The sequence below is a fragment of the Homo sapiens genome, chromosome 1, assembly GCF_000001405.40.
Source record: "Homo sapiens chromosome 1, GRCh38.p14 Primary Assembly".
Lineage (NCBI taxonomy): Eukaryota > Metazoa > Chordata > Mammalia > Primates > Hominidae > Homo > Homo sapiens.
The window spans coordinates 152490398-152516420 of record NC_000001.11 but is presented as its reverse complement, the minus strand read 5'-3'; the positions used below and the strand labels follow the sequence as shown (position 1 = coordinate 152516420).

General features: G+C 45.4%; 2 protein-coding genes across 3 annotated transcripts; both read right to left on the bottom strand.

Annotated features, from left to right (window-relative positions):
* Positions 1-412: 412 nt before the first annotated feature.
* Positions 413-1939, bottom strand: CRCT1 (cysteine rich C-terminal 1). 2 transcript variants are annotated; one of them, XM_011509656.3, is made up of 2 exons: positions 1869-1939; positions 413-1163 (listed from the first exon to the last, which is right to left on the bottom strand). In XM_011509656.3, the coding sequence occupies exon 2, from the start codon at positions 1035-1037 to the stop codon at positions 738-740; it is 300 nt and encodes a 99-aa protein (XP_011507958.1). In that variant the 5' UTR covers positions 1038-1163; positions 1869-1939; the 3' UTR covers positions 413-737. The 2 variants fall into 2 exon arrangements, with proteins under 2 accessions (XP_011507958.1, NP_061933.1); NM_019060.3 differs by having other exon boundaries at positions 413-1059.
* Positions 1940-4243: 2304 nt separating this feature from the next.
* Positions 4244-5618, bottom strand: LCE5A (late cornified envelope 5A). Its single transcript, NM_178438.5, has 2 exons — positions 5423-5618; positions 4244-4907 (listed from the first exon to the last, which is right to left on the bottom strand). Exon 2 carries the CDS (start codon positions 4884-4886, stop codon positions 4530-4532), a length of 357 nt encoding a protein of 118 aa, NP_848525.1. The 5' UTR covers positions 4887-4907; positions 5423-5618; the 3' UTR covers positions 4244-4529.
* Between the last annotated feature and the right edge of the window lie 20405 nt (positions 5619-26023).

Below are 26023 nucleotides of genomic sequence, written 5' to 3'. Positions count from 1 at the left end.
TCGGGAGGAGCACCTCAGTGGTAAGGCTTGGGAAGCCCAGGTGAGAACTCAGCAGAGCAATGAAGCCCTTGAATCAGATGTCCTGTCTTCTTTATCATGCGCCAGCTGGGTGACTTTGAACAAATTACTTAACCTCAGTTTCTCTTCTGTAAAATGGGTATAATTGCACTCTCCTACGCAAGTCATTATGAGAATCAGATTGTGCCACATAAAGTCCTGAGAATATTCAAGGACTTTGTCGCATAAAATCCTTAAAATACTCGAAACAGTCGATATGTGATCGCTGCTATCATAATTAACTATCAGAAAGCCACCTTCTTGTTCAGGCATGAATTATAGTATTCTGCCTTTCACAAACATTTCAAGCCTTTCTACCTGGGTGGAGAAACGAATGAAGAACAAATAAAAGGTGTTCTCAGGAGGTAGAAGCTTTATTATGACATCTTCAAAAGACAATCAAATCAATAGACATTTGCTGAGCACCTGCTGTGTGCAAGCCCGTGTAGACAGTAGGGTCCAGTGTCCCACGCATGGCTCTCGAATCCCCGGGGAGAAAAATCACATCGGGGTCAGGGAGTTTTGCGTGGCTGAGAACAAAGTGGGTTTCTGAACATCAAAGTGCAATTCGCTTTACGGGGCAAACTCCGAGGCCCAGCCCCGCGTGGGAGCCGCAGCGGGGCGGGCCCGCTCTGGGCTGGGCGGGTTTCTCTAGCGCAGCGCTGGGGGTTGCGGGCCTCTCAGCAGCCGGAGCAGCATCCTGAGCTCCGGTTGTTGGAGCGCTGGGACCTCTGGCTGCCGCCCCCGCAGCAGCAGCAACCACTACTCCGCTGTCGGCGGCGTCTCCTTGGGAAGCAGCAGCAACTGGTGGAGCTGGAGCCGCAGCAGCCTGAGTCGCCGCAGCAGCCCCTGCCGGAGCCGCAGCAGGAGGAGGAGGAGGCGGGCGCCGGGGTGGGCGCCGGGGCGGGACACGGAGCGGGGCCCTGGGACGACCCCTTGGAAAAGCCTTTGGCGGAAACGGCGCTCTGTTGAGAGGACATCGCGGAGCTCCTCACGACAAACCTGGAAGAAAGGCAGCCTTTCAAAGGCGAGCCGGCTTTTTCTTTCCACCAATGGAACTCTGTCTGGGCTTTTGAGATTCGGCTTAGTGTACAAGTCAGCCTGGCCTGGGACAAGGAGGGAAAAGCACCCAGAAAGAGCGGACGCAAAGAAGCAAATCCAAGCAGGTGTTTCCAGTGAGTTAAACATGCTCAGAGCAGGACACAATCCATGCAATGAATCAATGCATTTCCATTTTCTCTGACTAGAAGAAGACTGCTCAAGTTCTCCACAGTGGAAAATAAACAGCACACTGCGGCAACTTATCTGTATGATCCAGTCCAAAATCTCCACTTGGCTTTTTTCTTGTCCCTCATTTTACTTTCCTACCGACCTTCGACTGTATCTTCCTAGTTACTACACCCCCATCAGTTAGAAAACACCCAAGTCCAACAGGCGGTCCCACCTGCTGGGTCTAAATAATCCACAGGCCAGAAGCATGTCCTGATCATTCTTTCTTGCCTACGCCTCTCATGCCCCACAACCATGTGGGAAAGGAGAGTTGTGCCAATATAAATAACCCCATCCAGGGAGCTGAAAGACCTGGGTTCTAGTCACAGCTCTTCTGCGGACTTGCTGTGTACCCTTGCAAAAACCACCTCCTATGTTGCCTTTATGTCCTCATTAGTACCTTAAGAGGTTGGCTCACTAGAAGCGTAGGTGCCTTGCGGGACACCCCTTCCACATCTATCTGCTGCCTGTGTTCTGTTTGCTCCTCCCCTGTGCCCTCAACTCATCCCACCCTCTCCCCCAGACCCTGCTAGGAGACTTACCAGACCCTGGCTCCACTGAAAGACTCACTACGTTCTCCAACTGGAATGGGCCACCTGCTAGGCAGTGGATTGAGCAGCGTCCAGCCAGAGAACCTTTTTATAAGAAGTATTCAGGTTCAGGCTCTTGGGAGGGGCCCATTTCCCAACAGACGTGCTCAGCTGACACTCACATCCCAGAGACATTCATCACTCAGGTAGCATTGTAGGTGGTGCATGTGGGCATCTAAGTCACTTCACAGAGGTGCCAGGATTGCTATGGCATGTTTACTTTCCAAACAGGGCACTGTTTGTACCTGGGAGGCTGTGTGTATGCTAAGAGAGGGCATGGGGCTCAAATGCAGGGAGGTCTGGAACCCCTGCCCTTGTCTTCAATACACACACACACACACACACACACACACACACACACACACACAGACGGCTCCACTTGCCCACACATCCATTCCTATGTAGTCATCTACTTGGTAGGTGGTAGTTCACCTATTTTTATCTTGATTCTCATCTCTCTGGCTCTTGGTCCTTGGCTCCCCAGGGCAGACCACAAGCTATGCGATAAGCCTGCTGGGTTTCATCCATATGCTTCAAGATGCAGTGAGTGAAGATGATGACGGGGATGCACCTTTGGGAACCCCAGGGGTGATTTCTCTCTGTCACTGGAGACAGGAAGAAAAACCTAGGCAAAGTTAAGGAACCATAAGACCAGAAAAGTTGTGAATGTAGTCAGGTTGCCATATCCCCATAATACAGCATGGTATGACAAAGAGAAAAATGTGTGCAGGACAGTGGCCCAATTGCAAAAAGGCTAGTCAGCCTGTGGGACTCCTGCTTCTTATCCCACCCCCAACCACCAATCTGCCTTTGAAGATAAGTTCTCCCTAGGGCCACTGCCCAGTGCAAAAGAAAATGGGAAAGGAAGAAGGGAGGGAGGGAAAGAAGAAAAAAAAGAGAAAGAAAGAAAGAAAGTTCTTTCCAAAGGTCCAAAGTGTTCATGATAGATAGTGTTTTCAGAATAACTAATTTTTAAGAATTGGAGGATACTTTGGCAGTCAACTTCAGAACTGCTTCTTAATCAAATTGCCCACAACTGTGAATGTGAACTATAACAGAAGTCCAAGACTAAGAATTCAGGAATTAAGGATGAGAGACAGGTTTGGGGGCGAGTGAGCTGGGAGTGGCTCAAGGGACTAGGCGAGGAAAGATAAGTCACAAAAGATACCAGTTTCATTTAACATGGATTTAGAGCCTGATTAACAGGTTGCCAGTTCCTAGAGCACCTGTTGGTGAGTATAGGTGAGACATTCCAAAAAGTAAAGTCAATATTAGAACAGAGAAGGAAGTAATGAAATAACAAGACAGAGGCAGGATCTCCTCTGGGAAAATGGGCAAAGTTCTTTTAAAAAAAAAAAAAAAGAATGAAGAACGTTTGGTAGGAATCAGTATAAGGAGATAATCTGGGCAAGTGCCTACTCATTCTGTGGGCATCCTATGATCTCATAAACCAGCTTACTTTATTTATCGCTATTAACTCTTATCAAAGGAGGCATCAATTGTTTATCTTTTATATTAAAGGCTGATTTGGAATTAACTTTTCTAGTTATCTTTTCTAGGTACATTATGAGTGTCTCCTGAAGGAACCAGCCCATTCCTAAAGAAATGTTGCTTGGAAAACCCAACACAGGGACCAAAACCCCTGTACTCTTATACCTCTCACTGCACACACACACACACACACACACACACACACACACACGTACGTCCCAACCACATAGAGACAGTCTTTGCAAAGAAGGGTGTCTTTCTCAGTTCTTTACCCAGATTCAAATCCAGGATTTCAGCATGCAGGGAAAATGTGCTCAGACGTTTCATATCTGCCTCCAAAACTCACTCACTGCCCACCCAGCTCTCCCTCTAGCCAACTGATGGAAACACCTGAGCTTATAATAATCAGAAAAGTAAAGAGTGTCCATTTATTAGAGCCCAGGATGAGCACTTCAGGCAATCTTATTCCCCATGAATGGGGACAAGCAATTTTTCAAACTGTGACCCATGCTTGAAGGAAACCCTCTCAGAACCTGAACCTTTTGAGTACAACCATCCTCTTCTCTTCAAACCCATTCCTGGCTCTCCTCATACAATCTTGTGTCTGGCGTAATGGTCTCAGACATTATTCTTTCCTTCAAGCTTAAAGTTCCAGAATCCAGTGCATAGAAGGAAATATTGTTTTCCAGAGGCCTAAGTAGCTTCACTGCCAAAATGTGCTTCCTAAACAAGTTTGTAAAGTGTTCGCTTGCATTTAAGAGAAGGGAAGGGAAGATGGCTTGATGCAGCAGGTAGGGAGTGGGAGAGGCAAACAATGAAATCAGGAGGCAGTGATATCAGGAATAAAAAGCTTTATTGTTACAGAGAAAATAGCTTCATAACTGAATTACAACACCTAGTTCTCCAAAGAGCTATGTCTGAGAGGGAAAGCCAGGCCAGAAAATATCACAAGCTAGACTTCAACCCTACAATGGAGTGAACATGGGCAGGATAAAGAGGGGAACTTAAGGCATTTCCGAAGTCCTTCCATGGGAAATGAGAGAAAAGAAGCCTCAGGCTGACACACATCTTCAGCACCTGGGATCTGCCAGTCCTTCTCCTCCGTGCTCCTCATGGCCCAGGTCAGCAGCAGCCTCCAGAGCTGTGGCAGCAGCCAGAGCCCCCAGAGCTGTGGCAGCAGCTGGAGCCCCCAGACTGCTGGCCACTGCCACTGCCACAGCAGCTGGAACTCTGAGGTCGGCGTCGGAGGGACTGGCGGGGCCTGTGGTGGCTCAGGCAGCAGCCACCACCCTCAGAGCTGCAGCAGCCCCCAGAGCTGGAACCACAGCAGGAAGAGACTGGAGGTGGGCATGGGGCTGAACACTGGGGAGGGCATTTTGGGGGACACTTGGGAGGACACTTAGGAGTACACTTGGGAGGGCATTTAGGGGTACATTTGGGAGGAGGCTGGCACTGCTGCTGGCTCTGCTGGCAGGACATCTCTGTAGAAGCTGAATAAAGCTGAAAGACAATACAAGCCCAAGGTCACTTCCTTGCCCTTAAAATTGAACTATAATTTCACAAGATTTTATCTCTAAGATGACCAGAATTTATTATTATGATTATTATTATTATTTGGGATGGAGTCTCACTCTGTCACTCAGGCTGGAGTGCAGTGGTGCTATCTCGGCTCACTGCAACCTCCACCTCCCGGATTCAAGTGATTCTCCTGCCTCAGACAGGTGTGCACCACCACACCCAGCTAATTTTTGTGTTTTTAGTAGAGACGGGATTTCAGCATGTTGGTCAGTCTCGAACTCCTGACCTCTTGACCCGCCCACCTCAGCCTCCCAAAGTGCTGGGATTACAGGCATGAGCCACTACTCCTGGCCTAAGATGAACCAGATTTTAAAAACCCAGTCTCCCAAGACCAGTAACAAGAATGATACAAATGATTTCCACCTAGTAACTCCATATTTTCAAATGAATAACTTGGAACTTCAGAAAGGCATCAGTCCTTCATTCCTTTTACCTACCTTCCACCCTCCCCTTCCAGAAGAACCTTCCCCTCCAAAATCCTTCTTTATCCTTGTCTTTCTTCAAGAATGGCCTCAACCTCCACCCAGGGGCTCTTTCTGCCCAAAACACCAGCACCAAGAGTTCATCCTGGTCCTGAGAAGCACTCTACCTGGTTCAGGCACTGCAGCAGATCACTCAGGAGACAGGTAGACTGAGGTGCTGTCAGAAGCTTCTGCCTTTTATACAATTCAGTCCTGACCTAGCATCAGGAGGTGCAGACCATGTGCGGGACGCTAGAAGCATCTTTCATAAAGGCATGGGTGACTCCCTCCCCTCGCATCCCAGGGACCCAGTTCCTCCCTGCATAAGCATCTCAAGTATTAACCCACAGGAAGATCCCCTGAGAACTGCAGGCCTCTAGGATGGTGAGGGAGCTCTGTGAATTGCACATGGCACCTATCTATCTCACAGGCAGCTCTGCTATGCCTTCTATTTTCTGAGCTGGGCCAATACGGCTCTACACCTCTGGAATGAACAGAAGTTCTGTTTTCTCTTTGGTATAGGAACTGAAGGAGAAAATTCCCAAGATGGAAATTAAATGGCCCTTTTTAGAATAATAATAGAGATCCAAAATAAAATTGTAGGCCCAAGCAAATAATCTAACATGATTTTTTTTTCATTTCTAGATGATGCCATAACCAGAACAAGGAAGGTTTGATATCTCAGTGATGTTATTTTAGGCAGATCTAATGCTGACAGTGTGGGTGGTTGGGCTTCTCTCCTTGCCTGAATTTGATGCTCCAAAACTGCTCACAAACAGTACCGATTCAGCACTAACAATGCCTTTAAAAGGGCAGAAGTCTAGGAATGGCTTATTTACTCGTGTTAAAGAAGGTGCCCTTGGCCAGCTCGAGGTGAGGCAGCAAAGACCAGGTGTATACTGAGGGTGGAGCAAAAGCTCTCCACTCATCTGGAGGTTTCCAGAAGTGAGGCACCAGTTCTGGTCATTCATAAGAGAAGAGCATCCAACCTGGGAAGGACCTCAGGAGAAGATTAATCTTTGGATGGAGAGGTGAAGAGGAGGAGTATATAGGTTTTAAAAGCCCATGGTGGGATCCAAAACATTTTCTCAGCAAACAATATTCTGAGGGAAAGTTGGGTCCCCAGGATAGTTATCAAAATTGACTTAGCTGGAAAGGGTGGCCAAAATATGGCATATTCACAATGAAAGCTGCAGTGAGAGAAAATAAGACTGGGAGAAAAAGGCAGTACCTTAGCTCCATGCTCTTTGAAATGGGCTGCAGTGAGAAGCATCAGCCCAGTTATAACACAGACCCTGGAGAGGGACATCCAGCATCAGTTCCCACCCTTGCTCTCTCCACCTGTGCAACCTCTGGCAAGTTACTTAACCATCACTGGAAAAGGGGGCTGAAAACATTCCTAATCCACTGAATAAAGAAATACAGATGAAGTTCTTAGCACAGTTCCTAGAACTGCAAGTTTAAAAAAGAAAAAACTAATCACTATGGCTATCCTTATTTCCATGAGAAAATATATGCTAAATTTCAAATTACTGACCTGCCAATTTTGAAACCAAAACTAATTTTTATGATATCAGAACTTAGACTCGATGTTTTCTTACAGCAAAATATTAAGAGTATTTGCTTGTCACTAGGGAATGAGATTATAAAGAAAGCATACTCATTATTTAAAAACACCAAAAAATAGGAAGAATTTTAAAATCACCTATAATCCCATCCCTAAAATATGGTTACTATTTTGCTATTTTCCTTCCCGTCATTTTTTTCTATATATAGTGGTTTTGTTGTTGTTGTTGTTATTTGAGTTTTGTTTGTATTTTACATAGTCTTTCTCATAGTACTTACATGAGTTTACTTTACTAACTTTTCACTTAACATTTTAACATCAACATTTCCCATGTTATTCGTTGTTTGGAAGCATTATTTTTGGTAGCCATAAGAACATTTCATGAAGGGCACAGAATCTATTTATAAGTGGTTGGGAGCGTGAGTTCTTTTTTTTTTTTTTTGAGACTGAGTCTTGCTCTGTCACCCAGGCTCGAGTGCAGTGGTGCGATCGATCTCTGCTCACTGCAAGCTCTGCCACCTGGATACACGCCATTCTTCTGCCTCAGCCTCCCAAGTAGCTGGGACTACAGGCACCTGCCACCACGCACGCCCGGCTAACTTTTTGTATTTTTAGTAGAGACGGGGTTTCACTGTGTTAGCCAGGATGGTCTTGATCTCCTGACCTCGTGATCCACCCACCTCGGCCTCCCAAAGTGCTGGGATTACAAGTGTGAGCCACCGTGCCCGGCTGGGAGCGTGAGTTCTAAATCCAGTCTCTGGGTTTGAATCCCAACTCCCCACTTACCAGTGGTGTGACTTTGAACAAGTGATATGAGCTTTCCACCTCACTGTCCTCGCCTGTGAAATGGTCAAAAAAGTAGTGTTTATCTCATGGGGCCATTAAATTGAGTTAACATACCTAAAACTCTTGTAAAAGTGCCCGGCATATAGTAAGCATTCAATAAATGTTTAAAATGAAAACTGATGCTGTGTCACTTCTAAATTCCAGCACTCAGGGCAGGCCTAGATAAAGACCACAGGGTTGGGGCGTCGGATCTGTCTCTGCCCTCCTTGTGGAGAAGTATAAGCAAGAAGGTAGAACACAGGCTCTGAATTTCTGGAAAGGGAATCCCAGTAAAATTAAAGGAATTACCCATTTAAAACATGGGTTTGGTGAATTCTAAAAGGAACAATGTCCATCCCCTTTTAGTTATAATTGTTTGGGCACACGACCCACCTATCTGACCACATGGTAAGGTCTTTAGTGCAGGAATCCCTAAGGGGTCTAATTTAGTGCCTTGTAGGCAGCAGGTGCTCAGTTTTCATTTCCTTGTTCAGTTGAATTTACTATTCAGCAAGCAAGATGAATGCCTCAAACAAATCCAAACCCAGATTTTCATTAACAAATTCTAGACATTTCATGGGATGATAGAATAGTTGTGGAAAGGACCTTGGCCATCATTCAGAGCCGGTGGTTCTCAACCCCGGTGAGATCTAGGCTTTGACATTCTCCAGACGTCCATCAAGTGGCTCTGCTGCACCACTGGGATTGATAATTGCTGATTTAGATCATGCCCCTTGTTTGACAGAAAAGGAACCTGAGACTTAGAGATGGAAAAAGGCTTTCCCTGGATCACATGGAGAGTTGGGAGCAGAGATGGAATTCAAAACCTGCTATCTGCCCTCTCTCCATCATAGCACTCTGCCTCTTGAATAGTATTTTATTTCTTACTGTGATTTTTTCCAGCAAGATTTATTTTATATAATTTGCTTGTTAAACATGGCTATTGAATTTGGAGTGAAAATAGTAATAAATATGGGGAATCACAGCCTGAATTGCACATATGAAAAAATTGGAAGTGATCATTACCTCTACTAAATAACCAGGGATTGATTACCTGTGTTGGACAGGCAGTGTCTGGCATTGCCAGGGATAGGCCAGCTGGCAGACCCCCAAGAACCCTCCCCAGGATGGCACTATCTGGATGACTGTTCCCTAGCCCAGAAGTCCAACTCTTAGCCTTAGCATGGCTAAGTTCCTTAGTCCATGTCCCTGAGCTGATTAATCCTGTGGAGACTGATTCACTGCACCTAACTCACAAGAGACTGTGATGACATCAACTTACAAAGAGAAACCTGAGTGTCAATGTTGGCAGGTACATTGTCTTCCTGTAGGAAAACTCCTGAAAGAAGTCATCATAATCTGCCAGCACTCAGTGAGCATGAGGTTGCATAACAACCTCAGGTTTTGATGGTGAGCAAAACTAGACATGCCCCTTAGGTCATCTGAACACCGCCAGCCCTGGACAGATTTGGGAGCCCTGAAAACATTTGTCCCTGACCTCCCTTTGCTTCTCTGTGCTGGACTGTGGCCTGGGAACTGCCTCCATGAGGGCCTTTGCACAGTGTTGCTCTCACCCACTGCAGGCTGATTCTGGAGTTTAACACTGGAAAGGGAATTTTTCTATTTGTCTTATTCCCACTGCTCACTGTTGCCCTGATGTAAAGTCTGAATAGTGTACAGAATAATGCCCACCCCTCCTGTGCATAGATGTCCACATTTCAATCCCCAGAACCTGTGAATATATCACCGTACACAGCAAAAGGAACTTTGAAGATGTGATTAAGTCAGGGATCTTGAAATAGGGAGATTTTCCTGGATTATGCAGGTGGACTCACTGTAACCACAAAGGTCCTTACAAGAGGGAGGCAAAAGGGTCAACGTCAGAGAGGGGAGATTTATCAGCAGAAGCAGAGGCTGGAGTGAGGCATTTTGAAAATGTAAGAAGGTGACAGAAGCCAAGGAATATAAGCAGCTTCTAGCAGCTGGGAAAGGTAAGAAAATAGATTTTTCCCTAGAGCCTCCAGAAGGAATACAGCCCTGTCAACAGCCTGATATTAGCCTAGTGACACCTATGCCAGTCTGACCTGCAGAACTATAAGATAATACCTGTGTGTTGTTTTCAGCAACTAAATTTGCAGTAATTTGTTACAGCAGCAATCAAAACCAATCAAGAGGATCCTCAATGCCTCTGAGGCTAATAGAATGTCGTCAGGCCAAGGGAAGCTCAGTGAAGAGGTGACAGAGAAAACTCTTACAGATAGATAAAGTGCTGTCTGGGTTGTCCCAGCTCTGCCCCTTGCTAGCTATGTGACCCCTTGGACCTGTTTCCTCAGCCATAAAATGAGGATAATAACAGTGCTTATGGCCATGCTTGTTGTATGAGGACTCCATGAGATAATGCCTGCAAAGCCCTTCATCCTAGACTTGGCACATAAGAAGCGCTCAGTAATTTTTAGCCCTTCTTATTCTGGTCATTATTAGTCTTGTCCTCACCATCATCAGTGAAAACAGAGATGTCATGATGGTTGCCAGTGCATTCCTGGGTCCCTCCACTGGACTTAAAGCTCCCAGCTACTTATTTCCTGGACTGGAGCTTGAAGAATTCCATAGAGTAGGATGGACAACTTGCCACCACTTTGGGCTTATTTGAATTTTCAAGATACTACTTGCACCTCTTCTCAGGAAGACGAGAGCTTCTTATTCTTTAACCTCTGGAGAGCATTTTACCATTTATGAGGTGTTTGTGCATTCCTTCCTTTACTGGAATCTTTTCAACAACCCAATTTTGTAGAAGAGAGGGTTACTACCCCTATTATTCAAAGGTAAAATCAATGCTCAAAGAGGCCAAGAAATTTGTCTAAGGTCACACAGATGTTAAGAGAAGTTACCAGGGTTCAAATCCAGCTCTTTGGACTCTATATCTCATGCTTGCTTCTTGAATCACAGTGACCTCTAGCCCAGGGTCTGTTCACCCTGTCAGAGAAGAAGTGCACAGACCAAAATCTGCAGGGGGCTAGAATATAATGCACAAAAGCAGTCTGTAGATGCTCTTCTTCAGAGAAGATACTGCGATATGGCCTTAAAATGAAGCTTTCTTCCTGTCCTAAGTGAACAAAGTGCTGAGTGGAAGGGCCTCTAGCAGTCTGGTTGCAAGCTGCAGACCTTTCTTCTTGCCTTCCTGCACACCACCACCTTCAAGTAATGAGTGCCAGAGACATGGGGGCAAGCAAGGACATCAGAGACTGACTCATGAGCTACCTGGGGCCCCCAGGTGTGTGTGTGCACTTCCTGGAAAAGCCTCACCTCCAGGCCCCGAGCCAGGCCTGCTCAGCCTAGCTGTGGATCCCTGGCATGTGGGATGCTCAGGTTTCCTGGGGCCTTGCCAGCTACAGTGTTATCTTCTCTATGGAGAGCATCTCCATAGCTGGAGCCTGGAAGCGAGGATGCCATGGGAGCCTCCAGAGTGAGTAAACAGAGAAAGGAAGATTCCTCCTCTTGGAGAGCAGGTAAATATCCGGGGCGTGGGACTCAGAGGGAGTAAAAATAGCCAAGGAGGCTCCTGGAAACACATACACCAAGGTACCTTGTTTTCCCAGATGGAGAGGATGGAGACCAAGCACACAGGTGACGTGAAGCAGGCAGCAGGGAGAGGCTGGCTGCAAAGGGGCCAGGCATACCCAAACACCGGGGTAAGGGTACCTCCATCCAGTGGCAGGTATACCATGTGCCTCCCTCCGGGGAACTGGGCTATCCCTCACAGTGGCTTAATCTGCCCATTTGTCTTCATCAGTGGAGTGTCTTCAGCAGGGCTTGTTTTCAGTTCTCCCAGCTTACATTGATGACCTATGGGGATCTAGTCCTGGGCTAGGCAGTGGGGAGGCAAAGATAGGGAAGCCATCAGCACTGCCCGCTAAGAGCTGTCAGTCCAGTGGCAGAGACAGGTGTTCCCCAGGAACTGCAATACAAGCAGACTCTGATGGGTATGGACCAAAGGTTAAGCTAAGTGGATTAGAAAGGAAAAGGTGTACATCAAGTTACAGTAGTATAAGCAACATGAGAAATTCATTTATGTAAGACTCTCTAAACATTTATATATATAAATGTATATATAGATAATGTATACATACATTATATATAAATGTATATAGATAATGTGTATATACAGTATATATATATAAATCCACCTATTATATATATGTATAGTATATATGTAGAGAGAGAGTAGGTAAATAATCAGGGGAAAAAAGCTTGGATTGACCATATTAAGATGTTAACTGCAATTTCTTCTGGGTGGGGGATTGTGCACATTTCTTTTACTTTTGCTTACCTACATTTTCTGATTTTCTGCAACGAATATGCATTACTTAGATGATACACTGTTTAAATTAACACAGAGGTACTAAATAGACTGAAAGGATCAGAAGTGACATTTGACGCTTTCATTTAATTTTGCAGATGTTGTGGTTTCCACTAAGCACCAGGCACCATACTTGGCTCTGTAGGCATAAGGAGGAAGTGAGTTATACACAGTCCCATTACTCCTGAGGCTCAGAATGGCCTTCCCTCTCTTCTCCATCCATTTACAGTTCACATGCCACCACCGCCTACCTGGTCTCCAGTAGCCTCACTGGCCAATTTGCTTCTCAGTATTTTAATCACAGAGTGCACAGTACTGCCTGCTCCATATGTGGACATCATTTACCTGCAAGATCTTGAACTCCTTGGAAGCAGGAACTATGTGTTATCTTTCTATTAAATTCCCAAAGCATAGAGCTAGGAAAATACTGGATGCCTTGGGAACATGAGCTGAATGTAGCCAAGCAGAGGGAAGGAGACATTGAGGCCCACACAGGAGTCAGCTTTGATGCCCTGGTTTCCTCAGGGATCCTAGGTCTTGACTCCCGAAGGGACTGAGGATGTGAGTCCTGCTCTTCTCTGAGCCACTCACCTCCAGTGGGTTGTCTCAAACCATGGCTCATGTATGGAAAAAACACAGTGTTTATTGAGCTGAAATTAGCACTCCAGAGGCAGGCCTTGCACCCACAATTGGGAAAAAAAGTTTCCCTCCACCCAAAGATACTATCTTCCCCATCAAGATTTCAAAGCTCAATTGACTACGTCCATGCAAAGACTAAAGAAATTTAGTTTAACTTTGTAAACGTGAGGCTTGGTTAGCTCTGTGGTAAGCACAGTAATAGGGAAGAGAGAAAGGGAGTGAGGAAGAAAAGAGGGAAGGAAGGATAGATGGAAGGGAAAAGGGGAAGGAGAAGAAGGAAAGGAAGAAATGAACAGGGATGGGAAATGAACAACAAATACAATTCTCTCTTCCCACCTATAAGACATTCTACTTCAGGTAGTGGTGATTTTGTTGACAACTCAAAAACGTAGGGCAGAAAGTGAATCTCACTTGTAACAAAGAGGAAAGACACCCACGTATCCTAACAACTAGTATTTATGGTTATAGGTTGGGGCTTCTCTTTCCACCCCCTCCCAATCCCACCCACCTATGCCTGCCCAGCTCTGGGCGCTCCCTGCCCTGAGGTACCAGGACTTCTCTGAGCCTGCTCAGTCATGCTCCCGTGTCTGACAGGCGGAGTATGACTGAGTCACATTACAGGAGTCGGAGCAGTTTCACACATGCCTGAAGTCTCTAGGTTAATGATGAAATGCTCAAGAATTTCCTGCTGCCTGTATGCCAGGCTTTTCACCAATATCTGGGAATATGGCTATGTCTGTCCGAGGGTTGCAGATTACTCCCTCCAGGGAATTCAGTCTCTTCCCCTCTACATATTCCCCTCTATTCATCATCTGCCCCACCACCTCTGTCATGGCCTCCATCATAAGGACCTCTCCCCCCTCCTCCCAACTACTTCTCCTTTACGCCTCCCCTCTGATGGCATAAGCCACATTCCACAGTTTACAGTCAGTGATGCAAATAGGACCCATCATCATTACCTCCTCTGAAGCCTCCTTAATCCCCCCAGTAAATGTCCCCAAGACCCAAGGCTGAGAGTCATCCCACCTTCTCCCTCTTCCTCACCTCCATGTCTAATCATGCACCCAGGCTCCTCCTCCCAGTCCTACAGTCTCCTGTCCTCAGACCCCTACCATTTCTGTTTCTAAAAGGTAAGTCTGAGCCTATTTAAAACATTCAAGGGCTCCCTATTCCCCACAGAGGAAAAAAAAAAGTCAATTCCTCCACATGGTGCCTAGATTCTTCATAATTTGGCAGCTTCTACCTGCCCAGCCTTATGTTCCTGCACCATATGGACACTACAGCCACATCAAATTATTACCATCCCTGAATGCGCCTGCATGCACCCTCTGCTTAGAACACCCTTTTTCCTCCACTCCTGCATGTTCTCAGGCTCCTATTCTCCAGGAAACCTTCTGAGACAGCCCCAACACTGGCTCCTGTAATGGAATGCCTCCCTGTCAAGGCGCCTGGCACTCTCTGGGATCCCCAACAGGATCGCCTCTTTGTTAGATTCTGAGCCTCTCCACAGTGGGGTCTGGGCACTCCCCCATGATGCTGGGGGATATCACAGAGGCTGTGTATCATAAATACTCAAAGGTGCTTGGAGACAGATGCTGGGGTTATTCATCACTGTGTATCCTCAAGGCTCAGCACAGAGTTCATGTCATTCAGCAAATATTTGTTGAGTAAAGAATGAAGGAATGAAAGACTGAGAGCTTGTCGTCATTGTCGTGGAAGGAGGAGGCCCACAAGGCCAGCCTGGTTACTGTGTAGCAGGTTCTGACCTTGACTCAGTCTGATACAGGTGGAAACTGCAATGAAGTCATTTCTCATCAGTGTGTTGCCTTGGTCTCCCTGGGATGCCAGGCAAACAGGAGCTTTTAAGCACTGGAAATTCTGGATCCCTTATTAGATAAACTGAGTGACACCAGGTCCTGCTTGAGTTATTCTTAGACTCCACAGGTCACCAGGAGTCTGTCAGAGATTTGGCCCATCCCTCCTCATCCAGGGGATGAAACTGGCTCCAGAAGCCAGAACCAGCACTCAGAACTCCAGCCACTGAGCCCCATGTCCTTCCCATGTCTTTCCCATCTCCATTGTCTGAACTGCCTCCTCAGTGGCCACATCTGAGCTGAGCGGAGCCTGGGGAAGAGTAACGTAAGGACAGAGTCTTGCAGTGCCACAGAGTGTCCTCTCAACTGCTAATTGCCTAGTTAAGTGACAGGAAGCCCAGCAGGCTTTAGGAAGATTTCAGGGGAAAAATGACCCCTGACTTCTGCTGCTGTCCCCCTCTGCCCCAGGCAGCTGCATGAGGGTTCAGTTACTGCCATCCCAAGGGGTTACTCTGTGGAGGCCCTTTGGATGAGGCCAGCCCTCTGAACCTCTGTCAGTTCCCACTTGTAGCATTCCAAGTGCTCAGGGTTTCTCTGGTATAGAGCTTGGTCCCTGGACCAAACTCTATGTACCAGAGAGAGTTTCTCTCTTTAGGTTTCTGGTTTATTATTAAATCCTTAGAACCCAGAAGATGTTTGGAACATAGTAGATGCTCATTAAATATTTTTGGGAAGAGGGAGGAAGGAGGAAGGGAGGGAAGGAGGGGGTGAAAGAAGGGAAGGATAGAGGGAGGGAGCTGATCCACGTGCCACTGTTTTAACCAGCTGCCACTGAGCTGGCTGAGAGAGCAGGGTGAGCCTCTGTGAGCATCTGGACAACTCACGCATGAGGCTAAAGCCAGCTTCCCAGAACAGAGGTGACCTCCCCTCAATCCCAAGACTCTTGGACACAAATGCTCATTTACCTGAGTAGAAAGCCTCTTGAGCTAGAAAACTTCACAGTCCATGGGCATCCTTTGTGGTACATAGCAGGGGCCCTGGAACCCTTTGCTATTTCCTCATTTCAGCCCTGTCTTTTCCTGGGGCTTTCCATGTGTATCTCTCCCACAAGCCATCTCAGCACCGTAGAAGGATCCTGTCTTAGAAACACTAGGCTCAAGAGGGTCACCGAGGTTCCATGTTTCTCACTGGGATCCAGGAGATAAGGGTGGTGGGAATGCATTCTATTAGAAGTGTAAGACTCAAGGACCAGTGGTGAGCCATTTGTATCTTTAAAGTGGAAGAGGAATCCATTGAGCAGAGTGAGCTGAATAAGAGACAGAGATATCTGCCCTTGAGTCTCAGTTCTGCCGCGTTAACTCTGCAACCTTGGACACACCACATTGCTTCTCTGAGCCCCAATGTTCTCATCTATAAAATGGAGGCCCACAATATGCTACCCAAACAAATGAGATCACATATAGCAAAGTATGTGGTGATCCATAAAGTGCAATAATAACTATCATAATAATATAAACATAATCAAATAATGATGATGATGACAATTAAGGCCAAGCTGTGAGTGGTGTTGTCTCTCACATAACCCCACAGCTTTACGTGATGTCAGTGCTTCTAAGGGGCGCAGAAGGATAAGGCCCACAGCAGGAAAGACCCCCAGGTGAGAGCTGAGTGTCAGTGACACTTCCAGGCATTCCTGGTGCCTACCTGGAAGACAGCACTGAGGGCAAACACTGTCCTGCCCCAAAGAGCATGAGAAAGCAAGAATGAACCTGATGGTTAATCTTTGTGACCCTGCCTTGACCCCTGTAGGACTCCTCTTATGACTAGAGAATGAGCACCCTATTCTCACCAGCTGGTTCTGCAGGCCCTCAGAAACCAGAATGTCGAGTGGGGTGGTGCCTGGGTTTGGGCACTCACTTTGCCCCTCTGTAGCAGTGTGTCCTCCAGTGGAAGATGGGGAGGCTGGACACAATGGCCTCTGTGAGTCCATCCTGCTCGGGTGGATCTGGTGGAAGTGTCTCGCAGGCTTCCCAAGGCCCTGTGCTCCGGGGCTCACAGTACCGAGAACTTGGCCAATACCCAGCACTATCGACAACACCTCATAGTGCCTCCACTCAGGGCCAAGCCTGGCTTCAAGCAGCTTCACCCTGGCCTTGCACCTACAGTGTCACATACAAAAGACATTTGGAGCTGTTATCGGAAGGTTCATCCATCAATCCATCATTCAGTCCTCAAAATCATATTAAGTACTGATAACATACCAGGCATCGTGCTTGACCCTGATGACACAGATGGAAATTAAACACAGCCCTGTCCTTAGGACGTCCCCACTCTGGGTCAGGGCCGGGTTGAGGCAGGCAGACACACAGGCATTCACTTGTAAGGCAGTGTGATGAGTGCTGATAGACGACATAACACTTTTCTCTCTTCGGAGTTGCCTTCCACTCCAAAGTCCTGGCAGGAGACAGATGACTTCCCACAGACACCCTTGACCACCCTGTCGACCTTCTCAGCTAAGAGCCAGAAAGGATCCCAATTTTGCCATCAATTAGCTATAAGACCTTGGGAAAGTCACTTTGGTTCTTGAGGCCTCAGTTGCCTCATCTATAAAGTGGGAACAATGATGGTTTTTCGTCTATTCAGGAATCAAATTTTTTTTTTTAGCAGCAGCTATATGCTAGGCTTTGGGAACACAGAATTGAGCAGAGACATGTCCCCTGATCTCATGAAATATAGAGTTAATTAGAAAAGACAGACATTAAGACTTAACATTAGTGCCAGAGCTATAAAAGGAGAAACAGGTTCCTATGGAACTACTGGAAGAGAATCTCACCCAGCCATGACTGTTCTCCCAGAGATACCATGGGCATTCAATTAAACAGTGAATATAAAAGTGCTCCTTAGGCTGTAAAGTGCTGTGTGAATATGTGCTATCCTCTCCTGGGTGTTTTTGCTTGTCTCACTCAAAGCTTGGGAAGTCAGAATATGAGAAAGATAAAAAGGAAAGCAAATGTCAATTTAGATAATTGCTTAAATAAATAATAGATATTATTCCACTTGTTAGCAGACCAGGACCAGGATGTTCCCCAATAATAGTGAAATGTCTATTATTTCACTAGCATGCCCAGGGTGGCACAGCTCAGGGTCAGACATGAAGGTTAACCATGTCCCTCTCCACTGCTCTGTAGTAAACAGGAAAACAATTCTCCTCCTTGGTGTTTCCACCTCCAGCCCTACTCCTCAACTTCTGGTTAGAAGCGAAGGCACAGACCAACTCCCAGCCAAGATGCTCAGAGAGGGCAGAGGTCCACCCAGGAGAATGGACAGCAAGGCAGGTAATTGTTGCCAGGCAGAGCTCAATCTGCCTCCTCTGATGGGACTGCATCCATACTAATGGCCTTACTAAGTCTGGTGGGAAGAAAACCCTAGTCAAGCTGTGAGCTGAATCCAGTTGAATCCAGCTCTGGTAGACAATGGCTGGACAGATATGGAAACTGAGGTTCAGAGAGGAGAATTGGATGGTTGCAGCAAAAAAACTATGAGTGCCAGTGCCCTGTTTCTGAGTCTTCTGGTATCAGCAACACTGTGAAGTGGCTTGGGGAGGCAGACCTTCCCCTGGTGGTATTCCCAGATCTGGGCATCTCACCTTTGGCCAGTGCCCTCAGGGTCTCTTCCTTTTCTCCTGTTCATTCAAAATCCAGTCTCTGTAAACCATCTGAAACTTACTCACAATTAAGCATGGCCCTTGCCTGGGGAATATATCTGTGTTTCAATAGATACCAACTCTCAAGATAAAGGAATGAATTTATAATCATCGGGTTTCAGGACTAAGCCCTAGAAGGAGTGTTGGGCAGTGGTATATGCAGTGGTCAGGGTCGATTTCTCCCCAGATCAGAGAACGGAGACCCAGAGCCAGAACAGAGATGCAGCTGGCCTTCAGCCACATGGCTAGAAAGTAGCAGGCCCAGAACCCATGTCTGCTGAATTTCAGCCCCTTAAGAAAACCACAGATGCTGCAACTCTCAGTGGAGCTAGAGAAGACCCTTCGCCAGCTGGAGAGGTCCCTCAAGGGACAGCAATCCTGTCCCATATGACAAGGGGGAAACTAGGGATGAGGGATGTAAACCTGCTCTCCCAGGACTCTTGGAGTTGAGAGGAATTTTGGTCTTCATTCAGGGCTGTCCAGTGAAGTCACCCCAGGTCACTTTCTGAACAGCCTAAGTACAAACACAAATCCTAAATCTCCCAGAGCCCAGACTCAGGCTCGCTGAGTTGTCACTCTTGTTGAGACACCCCCTGGTGGTGTGGTAGGAAAATCCTTTTGATTCTCTGGCCTGTGGTCTCAGGGAAGTTATTTAACCTCTCTCAGCCTCAGTTTCTATATCTGTAATGATGGAAAAAATACTGCCTAATATTTGGGGATTGGTCTGAGAATAAATTAGACTGCAAATCTAAACTTACTAGCACGGAGCCTGACACAGGGAAGTCATTCAATGTGTGTTTCTTTCCCCCTCCTTAACCTCTTCCTTTTATAATAGTGACGCAGCATACTTCATAGAGTTAGCTTAAATAATGTCAGAGATGTGAAGTAGACAAGACCTATTGAAGACGGAATCTGTTTTTCTTTTTTTTTTTGAGATGGAGTCTCACTCTGTTGCCAGGCTGGAGTGCAGTGGCGTGATCTTGGCTCACTGCAACCTCTGACTCCCTGGTTCAAGCAATTCTCCTTCCTCAGCCTCCCGAAGAGCTGGGATTACAGGCATGTACCATCAAACCCATTTTCATGTATTTTTCATAGAGACGGGGTTTCATCATGTTGGCAGGGAGGGTCTCGATCTCCTGACCTCGTGATCTGCCCGCCTTGGCCTCCCAAAGTGCTGGGTTTACAGGCATGAGCCACCGCGCCCGGCCGAAGTTGGAATCTTAAAAGAAAACTCAAGGAATCTCTATTAAAATAGGTCCCTGCTTCCTTGGGACTGAAACATCACAGAACCTCACCCTGTCAGTCCTTGCAATAACTATAGGAGTCAAGATGTTTGGGGGCCTTGGATTTGAACCTTAAGTTTTTGACTGTGAAATGAGAAGAGAGGTCAATAACTCAGCAAATATTTATTAAGCTTCAAATGTCTCCCAAACACCAAGAACAAGGCTGAGTGAGGAAAGAAAGACTAAAGGAATGGACATGAAAATGGGCAAGACACACTCCCTGCCACATAGGAACATACAAGCTGGACATGGAAGTCAGGACACACACAAGGGAGCTACACAGCCAGAGGTGAAGAGCACAGACTCGGGAGCCAGTGTGTGGGTTTGAGCCCTAACTCAGTTTTTGTACTTTCTTTTTTTTTTTCTTTGAGATGGAGTCTCGCTCTGTGGCCCAGGCTGGAGTGCAGTGGCGCGACCTCGGCTCACTGCAAGCTCCACCTCCCGGGTTCACGTCATTCTCCTGCCCCAGCCTCCCAAGTACCTGGGACTACAGGTGCCTGCCACCACGCCCGGCTAATTTTTTGTATTTTTAGTGGAGACGGGGTTTCACCACTCTCCAAGACTAGCCAAGATGGTCTCGATCTCCTGACCTCGTGATCCGCCCGCCTCAGCCTCCCAAAATGCTGGGATTACAGCCGTGAGCCACGGCGCCCTGCCTATTTTTTACTTTCTTTTGAGACAATGTCTCACTCTGTCACCCAGGCTGGAGTGCAGTGGTGCAGTCATGACTCACTGCAGCCTCGACTTTCTGGGCTCAGGTGAACCTCCAGCCTCAGCCTCCCTAGTAGCTGGGACTATAGGTGCACACAAACACACCTGGATAAATTTTTTTGTATTTTTTGTAGAGGTGGGGTTTCACCATGTTGCCCAGGCTGGTCTCCAACTCCTGGGCTCAAGCGATCTGCCTGCCTTGGCCTCCCAAAGTGCTGGGATTACAGACGTGAGCCACTGCGCCTTGCCCCCAACTCAACTTTGGGCAAGATACTTACCTTATCTGGAAAGAACTTGGTTTCTATAAAATAAGGACAATAAGAAGGTCAATTAACTGGGTTGTTGGGGTGTGTGTGTGTGTGTGTGTGTGTGTGTGTGTGTGTGATAAAATAGAATAAATATTTTATAGGGACAAACCTGGCTTAGGCTGTATGTGTGTGTGTTAATTTATATAAGATATAATAAAAATAAAGTATGAAATTAAAATATTATTTACAATATAGAAATTTATTAAAGCACTTTAAATAGTACCTGACACATAATAATCACATATAAGTTTTGCTATGTTAACCAGATACACCACATAAAAAGCAGACCAGAGTTCCATGCTTCATAGAGGAAAACACAGTTGACTCTGATTACTTGGGATTGACAGCATCCCATCAGGTCTTGAAAGAAAAAGGGATTTGCTGTGACCTCTGCAGCAGCTTCCTGCTCTTCGCCTATCCTCATTACTGTAGCCCAGCAAAATCTCCAGGATTTACTGCCATTTCTAAACTCCTGCCTCTGATTCTGTCGCCCCCTACCGTCCCATGTGTGTAAGGCAAATTGGATGCTCCACCTCTCCCTCAGTGCACAGAAGTGCTAAAACCCTAATCCAAGGGTTTACAGCCTTACTCAAGAGACTTGGACAAGTGTGTGACACGGCTGTGAAATAAGAAATAATAGGAGCAGAGTTGGAGAAAATGTTGGACATGGAAACCCTTGGAAGACAGATGTGTTAGTTTGCTAAGGCTGCCAAAACCAAGTGTCACAAAGTGGTTTAAACAACAGAAATTCATTTTCTCTCAATTCTGGATCCCAGAAGTCTTACATCGAGAGTTGATGGGCTTTGTTTCTTCTCTCCTTAGCTTACAGACATCCATCTTCTGCTTGTGTCCTCACTTGGTCTTCCCTCTGTGCATGTCTGTGTTCTAATTTTCTCTTCATATATGGACACCAGCCATATTGGATTAGGGCCCACACCTGATGACTTCATTTTAACTTAACTCCCTCTTTAAATACCCTGTCTCCAAATATGGTCACTTTCTGAGGTCCTGGGCTTGGGACTTTAACATATGAATTTTGGGAGGACACAATTCAGCCTATAATAACAGATAAGAGGAGTAGCCTCCCTCAGGAACCAAACGTAAGCCCTGTACCATCACAGATACCCATGAAGAGGGGGACAAAGATGGAGATGGGTGGAAATAAACTAAGACCCCCCCCCCACCCATGCCCACCTCATTAAGGATTCAGCTGACTTTGGAGGGTGGATAGAGATTACACCAAGGCCTCAGGGGGGAAGTGAGGACTAGGCAGCTTTCAGAGGATGGGCTTTGAAGCTTCTGCATCCTGAGGTCCAGGAAATTAACCCTGTCACACTCCCTCTCCACAGTACCCCAACATTCTGCAACAAGGAGTTCCCTGGTATGCCTCCAGCATACTATAAAAGAGCAGAACTGGCCGGGTGGGGTGGCTAAGGCCTGTAATTCCAGCACTTTGAGAGGCCAAAGTGGGTGGATCATTTGAGGTCAGGATTTCGAGACCGGCCTGGCCAACATAGTGAAACCCTGCCTCTACTAAAAACACAAAAATTAGCTGAGCGTGGTGCTGCATGCCTGTAATCCAAGCTACTAGGGAGGCTGAGGCAGGAGAATCGCTTGAACCTGGGAGGTGGAGGCTGCAGTGAGCCAAGATCGCACCACTGAACTCTGTTGCCTGGGCAACAGAGCAAGACTCTGTCTCAAAAAAAAAAAAAAAAGAAAAAAAAAAAAGCAGAACCAGTCCTATGATCATCACTGACACATCTAATCAGCCTATATATATAGACTGGCCTAGACATTCTAGAAGCATTCTTTGAAATAGATTGTTTCTTGGAGTAAGGAATTTATATCTTTGGGATAATAGCTGTGGCATTTTCCCCTTTTCTCCCCTTGTGAGTAAGGAGAGTTTGTTTTTCCCACTTTTCAAGCCAAGCAAAGAGTCCATAAGAAAATCACTCTGAGATATTGGGGGTCTCTGCAGGAAAGTGAGATGATGTATTGTATCTCATTCGGATGCTTGATGTGCTGTGGAAAGAGAGATGTTCAGCTGTGCTGGGTTGACTGCCAGCATACAGAACAGTGAGGGGATGCTGGAAAGAGCTTGCCATGTGCCCTGGATTTGGGGAGGCGTCCCTGATTGGGTATAGGTCCTGTCACCCAGGTAGTGAGCATTGTACCCAACAGGTAGTTTTTCAACTCATGCCATCATCCTAAGCGAATTAACACAGGAACAGAAAACCAAATAACACATGTTCTTATTTATGTGTGCTGAACATTTAGAACACAGGGACCTAAAGATGGGGACAATAAACAGTGGGCACTACTTGCGGGGAGGGACAGAGAGAGATATTACTGATTATAAAGTCTGCAGCACCCATCCAAACTATCCACTGAGACCCCAATATATGGGAAAAAGGAATATATCCAAAACAAACCCCATGTGAACAAGACAGAGAAGGAGAAACAACGCAGGAAAGTAGATCAGACCACCCACTGCTTGCCAATGCAGATTCCCAGGACCTGGTTTAGGTCTGAGCTGACAGAGCAGAGAAATCTTTTAAATTGTGCTGGACTGAAGTCTTTAAGCCCTGAAAGTGACCAGAAAGCTATAAAATCTGCCAGAGACTTCATTAAGGCACAGTAAAGAGATTTAATATAGGGTTTTAAGTATCTGAGTTGATAAATAAATAAATAATTTTCCATCTGTAAAATATAAAGTGCAAACCTTCAATATGTTTTCTCCAAGAGCCATTTTTGTCATTATTGTCAGAAGTTATTTCTAATCACATGTATGATTGCTACCCTCATTAAATAGTGAACCTCTCCACCCAGAGAATGCACCTAGTGGTTACTTTCCTTAAAAGTCATCCATACTATTTCTGTACACATAAAAGGATGCCTTATTTGTATGTGGTATTTGTATCTTGTTAGCATATCACTTAGCAAATTACCTTTTCATATATTTATTATTACATTATATTTCTTACTTGAAAACTGTTTAGCAGTAAGTTTTCTAATGTTCTACATTTTATATTTATCCCTTTGTTAGAAGCTTTCTGTATTCACTTTTTAATTCATTGTTCATAGACTAATGGAAAACTTATTTCTTTGATAACTCTAGTGATATTCTGAAGTTCATTAGTAATCTATGAATGTCTATACAGTTTTATTCATCACTAAAAACCATTTATTGTGTAAATCACATGAAATTTCTATAAATTGGAACTTGTTCAGAAAACAGTTTAGGTGAAAATGTAACTATTACATACACTAAATAAAATAGGTTGCAATTTCATAAAATTTTATGCAATTAATTAGATAAATATGTGTACTTTGTTATTTTATTGTTCAACCCCAAGATCATCATCTACCTTAGATGAAATCTATTGAACTCTGGAAACAGCTAAATTTAAGAGTGAGAAAACAGTTCTCAAAATTAAAAGCTGCTACAGGAGACATCAGCGAAAATGATGAAGTAAGGACCTTTAACAATCTGCCCTCTCTCCATCCCTCTCCCACAGTAGTACCCACTGTCTATTATTCCCATCTTTATGTTCCTGTGTTCTCAATGTTCAGCACCCACTTATAAATGAGAACATGTGTTATTTGATTTTCTGTTCCTGCATTAATTCGCTTAGGATGCTGACATGGGTTGAAAAACTACTTGTTGGGTACAATGCTCACTACCTGGATGACAGGATCCACACCCAAACCTCAGCATCATACAATATACCCATGTAACAAACCAGCACATGGACCCCCTGCATCTAAAATTAAAATTAAATTTTAAATTATTTTTTAGTGGAGAAGAAAACAAATCTGCCCTCCATAAAAGTAGTGAAAAAACAGACAAAAATGGTCAGATTCAACTTTTTCAAAATTCTAGAAGAATTTATTCAAGAAACATTGTTGAATCTTGGTAAGAACAGTTAATTTGGTAGCACTGGAGCCATCTCTCTCTCTCCAGCTTCCTGGTAGCCTTGAAAAATAACAGCTAACATTTGCAGTGAAGACAATTAATTACCTGGCAGCCAGTAGAGGGAGCAGAACAGGAATGGAGCTGATAAGTAACTTCAGAAACAGACAAACAGAGAGCCAAATCATGGGTGAACTCCCATTCACAATTGCTTCAAAGAGAATAAAATACCTAGGAATACAACTTACAAGGGATGTGAAGGACCTCTTCAAGGAGAACTACAAACCACTGCTCAAGGAAATAAAAGAGGACACAAACAAATGGAAGAACATTCCATGCTCATGGGTAGGAAGAATCAATATCGTGAAAATGGCCATACTGCCCAAGGTAATTTACAGATTCAATGCCATCCCCATCAAGCTACCAATGACTTTCTTCACAGAATTGGAAAAAACTACTTTAAAGTTCATATGGAACCAAAAAAGAGCCCGCATCGCCAAGTCAATCCTAAGCCAAAAGAACAAAGCTGGAGGCATCACACTACCTGACTTCAAACTCTACTACAAGGCTACAGTAACCAAAACAGCATGGTACTGGTACCAAAACAGAGATATAGATCAATGGAACAGAACAGAGCCCTCAGAAATAATGCCGCATATCTACAACTATCTGATCTTTGACAAACCTGAGAAAAACAAGCAATGGGGAAAGGATTCCCTATTTAATAAATGGTGCTGGGAAAACTGGCTAGCCATATGTAGAAAGCTGAAACTGGATCCCTTCCTTACACCTTATACAAAAAGCAATTCAAGATGGATTAAAGATTTAAACGTTAGACCTAAAACCATAAAAACCCTAGAAGAAAACCTAGGCATTACCATTCAGGACATAGGCGTGGGCAAGGACTTCATGTCCAAAACACCAAAAGCAATGGCAACAAAAGCCAAAATTGACAAATGGGATCTAATTAAACTAAAGAGCTTCTGCACAGCAAAAGAAACTACCATCAGAGTGAACAGGCAACCTACAACATGGGAGAAAATTTTCGCAACCTACTCATCTGACAAAGGGCTAATATCCAGAATCTACAATGAACTCAAACAAATTTACAAGAAAAAAACAAACAACCCCATCAAAAAGTGGGCGAAGGACATGAACAGACACTTCTCAAAAGAAGACATTTATGCAGCCAAAAAACACATGAAGAAATGCTCATCATCACTGGCCATCAGAGAAATGCAAATCAAAACCACTATGAGATATCATCTCACACCAGTTAGAATGGCAATCATTAAAAAGTCAGGAAACAACAGGTGCTGGAGAGGATGTGGAGAAATAGGAACACTTTTACACTGTTGGTGGGACTGTAAACTAGTTCAACCATTGTGGAAGTCAGTGTGGCAATTCCTCAGGGATCTAGAACTAGAAATACCATTTGACCCAGCCATCCCATTACT

Excerpts from the sequence above, each read along its gene's own strand:
- CRCT1 (XM_011509656.3), bottom strand. The coding sequence starts at position 1,037 with ATGTCCTCTCAACAGAGCGCCGTTTCCGCCAAAGGCTTTTCCAAGGGG.
- LCE5A (NM_178438.5), bottom strand. The coding sequence starts at position 4,886 with ATGTCCTGCCAGCAGAGCCAGCAGCAGTGCCAGCCTCCTCCCAAATGT.